This window comes from Homo sapiens, chromosome 6 (assembly GCF_000001405.40).
Source record: "Homo sapiens chromosome 6, GRCh38.p14 Primary Assembly".
NCBI classification, from domain to species: domain Eukaryota; kingdom Metazoa; phylum Chordata; class Mammalia; order Primates; family Hominidae; genus Homo; species Homo sapiens.
The window spans coordinates 74,775,849-74,782,505 of record NC_000006.12 but is presented as its reverse complement, the minus strand read 5'-3'; the positions used below and the strand labels follow the sequence as shown (position 1 = coordinate 74,782,505).

Sequence of the window (6,657 nt, the reverse complement as noted above, 5' to 3'; positions counted from 1 at the left end):
AGTATTTACTGTAGTCTTTGCAGTGTAGATTTGTTAGTGCTTGTCCTTCTTGGGAAGGCTTTCTAGGTGTTTGAAAGGATTTTGGTTTCATGGTATAAGCTGCATCTGCTTTAGGGGACAGCCTAAGCCAGTAACACTGTGGTTTTTGCAGACTTGTAGAGTTTACTCTCTTGGTGGCCTTGGATAAAATCCAAAATAATTCTGTGGATTACCAGGTGGAGACTCTTGTTCTCCTCCCTTACTTTCTCCCAAATGGAATTTCTCTCACTGTTCAGAGCTGCCTGGTACTGGGGGTGAAGTGACACAAGCACCCCTGTGGCCACCATTACTGGAACTGCGCTAGGTCAGACCTGAATACAGTATAGCACTGGGTCTTGCCTGTGGCCCACTATAGCTACTACCTGGCTAATGCCTATTTGTACTCAAGGCCATGGGGTTTTACAATCAGCAGTTGGTGAAACTAGCCAGGCTTGTATACTTCCCTTCAGGGTGGTGAGTCCCCCCAGGCCCCAGATGGGTCCAGCAGTGCCACCTGAAGTCAGAGACTAGAATCAAAAACCCTAGAAGTCAACCTTGTGTTCTATTGTACTGTGGCAGGACTGTCACTGAAGCCACAAGACACTGTCCTTCCCATTCTTTCTTCTCCTTTCCTTAGGCAGGGAGCCTTGCTCTGTAGCCACTGCCATATTAGGCCTACAGGGAGTACAACCAGGCTATCGTCGATGTTCCCTTAAGCCCCAAGGGCTCTTAAGTCAGCTTGTGGTAAATGCTGCCTAACCTGGGACTCACCCTTCAGGGAAGTGGGCTCCCCTCTCACCCAAGGAAGGTCCAGAAGATGCTATCCAAGATTGAAGGCCTGGAATCAGGGATCTCAAGAACCCACTTGGAGCTCTACACTTCTGTGTCTGAGCTGGCAACCAACATGCAAGACAAAGTCCCCTTTACTTTTCCTGCCACTTTTCTCAAGAAAAGGATTTTCTCCCCATAGCCATTATAGCTGGGAACATGCTGAGTCTCACCTGAAGCCAGATATTCTCAGTCTCACCCAAGGCCAATGGCATAGTATTTGTGTATTGCTGCTGGTTAGTCAGAGCCCAAGGGCTCTTTATTCAGAAGGTGATGGGTCTGGATGGATCTAGCTTCTTTCCTTCAAGGCAGTGAGTTCCCCTCTGGCCCACGGTGTGTCTAGAAATGTTATTTGGGATCTAGGGCTTGGAATGGGGAACTTATGACTCTGACTGGTGACCTGTCCTGATGTGGTTGAGCTAATATCCAAGATGCATGACAAAGTCCTCTTACTCTTCCCACTTCTCTCCTCAAGCAGAAGGAAGGGGTCTCTTTTGGAGCTGTGAGTTGTGCAGCCTGATGCTGGATAAAGGGTGACAGAAGAACTCCCTTAGTTGCCTGGGCTAATGTATCACTAGGTTGTGTGCTTCTCATGTTCACTGGCTCTGAGCCCAGTTCAGCATTAGGACCTTCAAGTTTATTTAGAGCTCCAGATCACTTTAGTCCATGATAACAGGGCTTGCCTGAACTCAGGCTTTGACTGCTGGAATGGGTGATTCTCCTCTGTCTAGGGCTGGCTTAAATACTCTCCATAGGTGAGTGTGAGCTCATTTCAGCCTGGTTTTTCTTTCTGCTATGACAGAGTAGCACTGATTTCAATGTAACATATCACAATCCCTGTGCTCACCTTCTCCCAAGCACACAGATTCTCTTTCTGCACATGCAGTTATGCTGGGGGATGGGGAAGGCATGGGCTTGGTAATTCAAGACTGTCTTTCCTACCTTTTTTTAGTGACTCTTTCAGCAATATGAATTTAAAACCAGGTACTGTGAGTGCTCACTTGATGCTTAGATCTTATGAAAGTGCTTTTCTTGTGTGTAGATAGTTGTTAAATTGGTATTCTTGTAAGGGGGTTGATGATTGGTGGAGCCTCCTGTTTGTTCGTCTTGCTCTACCCCTCCTCACCTATAAACAGTTTTATAATCTGTAAATCTACATTTTATAATCTACCATACACGAATTGGTGAAGGTTTAGATTATATAGATCTGAAAAGTTTTAGGAACATAAAAGTTGGAAAATTAATTTTAGTTAGTTTAGCCATTTGAAATTGCATTTAGTTACTTGTAACAGCCAGTTATAGTAGCTTAAATAATCAAGTTGTTTACTCTCTTGTGATAAAATATCTAAAAGTAGGCTCACCAGTGAGCCATAAAGTCATCAATGTCCTAGGTTTCTTCTGATTATCTGCCTTGCCCTTTTTTAATGTGCTCCATCCTTGAGGTTGCTCCATGACTACAACAAGGCTTCTAGAACTCCAGCCATCTTATCCACTTTCCAGGAAGAAAGTAGGGGAAGAGAAGGGGGCAAAAAGAAACTTTCCCTAGTTGCATAATCTTCTTGGAAATCTCTTTTAAAAGAATTTCAGAAGTCTTGCCCATTGACTTCCATTTTCATAGTATCCATCATACCTAAATGCAAAGGAGCTCATTGCCACTTTGAATAAAAACAGATCTGTGTTACTAAAGATGAGAAGAGTGGGTATTGGATAAACTGATAGCAATCTCTGCCAGAGGTTCTTTCCCTTCTCATTCTGCAAAGCATACCTTTTTCCTCCATTTGATATGTAAAAATAATTTTCCAACAGCTAACTAGGAAGGTGGAAGATATCTATAAATCACTGCTCAAAGAAATCAGAGATGATACAAACAAATGAAAAAACATTCTATGCTCATGGATAGGAAGAATCAATATCATTAAAATGGCCATAATTTCCAAAACAATTTATAGACTCAATGCTATTCCTGTTAAACTACCATTGGGATTCTTCACAGAACCAGAAAAAACTATTTAAATTTCATGTGGAACCAAGAAGGAGCCCAAATAGCCAAGGCAATCCTAAGCAAAAATAACAAAGCTGGACATACGCTACCCAACTTCAAACTGTACTACGGGTCTACAGTAACCAACACAGCATGGTACTAGTACAAAAGCAGACACATAGACCAATGAAATAGAATAAGGAACCCAGAAATAAGATTGTACACCTACAACAATCTGATCTTAGACAACCTTGACAACAAAAAGCAATGGAGAGGGGATTCCCTATTCAATAAATGGTGCTGGGAGAACTGGCTTGCCATGTGCAGAAGATTGAAATGGGACCCTTTCCTAAAATCATATACAAAAATAAACTCAAGGTGAATTAAAGACTTCAATGTAAATCGCAAAACTATAAAAACCTTATAAAAAAGGAAGACAGTATCATTCAGGACATAGGCATGAACAAAGATTTCATGATGGAGATGCCAAAAGCAATTGCAACAAAAGCAAAAATTGACAAATGGGATCTAATGAAACATAAGAGCTTCTGCACAGAAAAGGAAATATCAACAGAGTAAACAGACAACCTACAGAATGGGAGACAATTTTTGAAAACTATGCATCCGACAAAGGTCTAATATCTAGCATCTATAAAGAACTTACACAAATTTACAAGAAAAAACATTAAAAAGTGGAGAAAGGACACAAACAGACACTTTTCAAAAGAAGACCTACATATGGCCATAGGCATATAAAAAATTACTAACCATTGAAGGAGAGCAAATCAAAACCACAATGTGATACCATCTCACACTAATCTGAATGGCTATTATTAAAAAGTCAAAACAAAACAAAACAGATGCTGGTGAGGTTGTGGAGAAAAAGGAATGCTTGAACGCTTTTTGTAGGAGTGTAAATTAGTTCAACCACTATGGAAGACAGTGTGGCAATTCCTCAAAGACCAAAGACACAAATACCATTTGATCCAGCAATCGCATTACTGCATATATACACAAAGGAATATAAATTATTCTATTATAAAGACACATACTCTCACATGTTCATTGCAGCACACTATTCACAATAACAAGACCATGGAATCAACCTAAATGCCCACTGATGATAGATTGGGTAAATGGTATGTATACCATAAAGAAAATATGGTACATATACATTGTGAATACTATGCAGTTATAAAAAATGAGATCATGTCCTTTGCAGGGACATGAATAGAGCTGGAGGTCATATTCTTAGCAAACTGACACAGGAACAGAAAACCAAATACTGCATGTTCTCACTTATAAGTAGGAGCTAAATAATGAGAACATATGGACACAGAGAGGGGAACAACACACACTGGGGCCCATTGTAAGGTGAAGGATGGGAGGAGGGAGAGGATCAGGAAAAATAACTAATGCGGGCGATGAAATAATCTTAAAACAAACCCCCATGACACAAGTTTACCTGTGTAACAAACCTATGCATGTGTCCCTGAACTTAAAATAAAACTTTAAAAAATGGTATTAATCTCTAAAAAAAATTCCAGGAAAATATTTTAATATAAAAATATGTCTTTAAAAAATTAAAACACTGTTGTTTAGGCACTTATTTCCATTTGTTTGCTAATTAATATTATAACATCATAAAGTTTTAACCCTGAAGAAACATTAACAATTACTGTTTCCATGTGAGCTATTCAAAGCATGGTTCAGATTAGTGCCAACTAATGGACTATTTCTTTTCTTCACTTAAGTATAAAAATTAAGAGTAAGAGTAAATGTTTCAATACCTTTATAGAAATTTGACTGATTAATCATATACATATATAATTTAATAATTAAGATGATATATTTTGTCTTTATTTCTCTAGTAGTCACTTTGATTGTATTTTACCAAATTATTAATTCATGACACATTGGAAATTTAAAAATAGATAGAAATGGTTATTTTCACTTGTAACCTTTTCAGTTTTTAGACAATAGTGGTAAAGTATATAAGGCTGAGATATGATCCTGTAAATCCAATGCAATAATTATAGAATCCATTTCGCTAGATTAACTGTGTAATAATAATATTGTTATAAATTCAAAATTTCAAACTAGCAATCTCTTAATACCTAAGCATTGCAACATAATATCTTGGCAAAAGTTTCACCACATTATAATTATTTATTCATTAAATTGTAGTGGAAAAGTGTAACCAAATGACTGCTGAAAGTTGGAGTCTCAGAATTGACATTTTGGAGGGATGAGGTAGGATAACTTGGGCTAGATAATTTTGCTATAAAATTCTTGCACAAAAACTATTTCTCTGTAAATTGAAGAATATGTGGTTTATTTGTTCCACAATAACGTTAACATATAATGAAGAATTGTTTTTACTGTCATTCATTATCTTCTTACATTTCTATTGAAGCCCATTGATTAGCATGGGCATAGCAAATTTTCAAAAAGTGCAGAATAGTAACTTTGCACTAAACTTTAAGGGATGTATAATATAATTTAAAGTCAAGAACAAATTTTCCGTTCTAAATTTAAAATCTGATGATACAGGAATGAAAAATACAACTATTAATTATTCTTAATATGTTCAATTTAAATTAAATCATTTATAAACAATATCTTCTAATTCTTCTATCTCCTTTGTTTTAGGACTTTTGAATTGGTAGTATGTTGGGGCCAGAGATATTATTTATAACAAAAACTTCTGCTTGAGTTTGGAGTTATCTGTGCTCTGAGGTTAACATGCAAAATAGCAGCCCCTTCCACATGATTTGTAATTTGTGGCACAACATTTGCTTACTTGCCAATAGTATCTTTAGTATCCTTTGCAGTCTCGAGAAATCTGTTTCTGAGGAATCATAAAAGAAGTACCAGGTATCCCAATCATGATCTGAGCAATATTCTTGGGAAAACACAGAAGGCAGGAAGCAGCAAGCAAGAAGCCAGACCAGACTCAGAGAAGAAGTATGAGGAGTAAGAATATTTACTATACAAAGGCACAGATACAATCCATCCATTACTTACCATGCTTAGAATTATTGTAGACCCTCAACATATGTCTGCAAATAAACTAGAATAAAAAAGTCAAAGACAGAGTTCTGGCATGGATGGTGGAAGAGCTTCAATAATAAAGTCTAAGAGGAAGCAATTTTCCTTACTGTACTACAAATTCACTGAGATCATACACAACATCAATTCATTTTTATATCTATGAGATCTACCACATAGAAGTTATAATCAATGTGTGCAATGAATGAACACATGATTTATGATGGCTTCAATGAAAAGAAACAGAGAAACAGTATGAAACAGTACGGTCTAAGTGAAATTGAAGTGGATTTACAGATAAAACAGAAGTGAGAACATGGATAAAATTTCAACATATGAGGACCCAAGAAGAAATGAAGAGTGAGGACAGTAGGGACAGATGGAGGCAGGGATAGAGACAGATATATGTAAAGTGGTATGTGTGTATGGGTATTTATAGGTGTTGATGGAAACAGTCAGGGTATAGGGAAAGGTTGAAAACATAAGGGTGAGGCCACCAAATGAGTAAGGACTACAAATTTTATAAAATTATATATTCTTAGTTTCTTTTTCAAATTAGAACAGGAATGTTAACAAAACAATGAAACAGCTTGAAATTGTATTATCTAATAATATATGAAGAGATGATTAAAATGCATAGCATACAACTTGGCTACTTGATGCTCTTCAAACCTGTAATTTTGTAAGAACAGAAGGAAGTGAGAGATTGCATCCAGAGAAAAATATTTATGTGCAATAAGTTAAACTAACCAATAATCAAGGCTTCTGAGTTTCCCAAC

General features: G+C 37.2%; 2 annotated features.

Annotated features, from left to right (window-relative positions):
* Positions 259-759: an enhancer, noted in NCBI's record as "H3K27ac-H3K4me1 hESC enhancer chr6:75491463-75491963 (GRCh37/hg19 assembly coordinates)". NCBI's record gives its function as "activates a minimal SCP1, AML or CMV promoter by ChIP-STARR-seq in primed H9 embryonic stem cells {active_cell/tissue: H9 hESC(primed)}" and the evidence as "EXISTENCE:reporter gene assay evidence [ECO:0000049][PMID:30033119]".
* Positions 760-1,260: an enhancer, noted in NCBI's record as "H3K27ac-H3K4me1 hESC enhancer chr6:75490962-75491462 (GRCh37/hg19 assembly coordinates)". NCBI's record gives its function as "activates a minimal SCP1, AML or CMV promoter by ChIP-STARR-seq in primed H9 embryonic stem cells {active_cell/tissue: H9 hESC(primed)}" and the evidence as "EXISTENCE:reporter gene assay evidence [ECO:0000049][PMID:30033119]".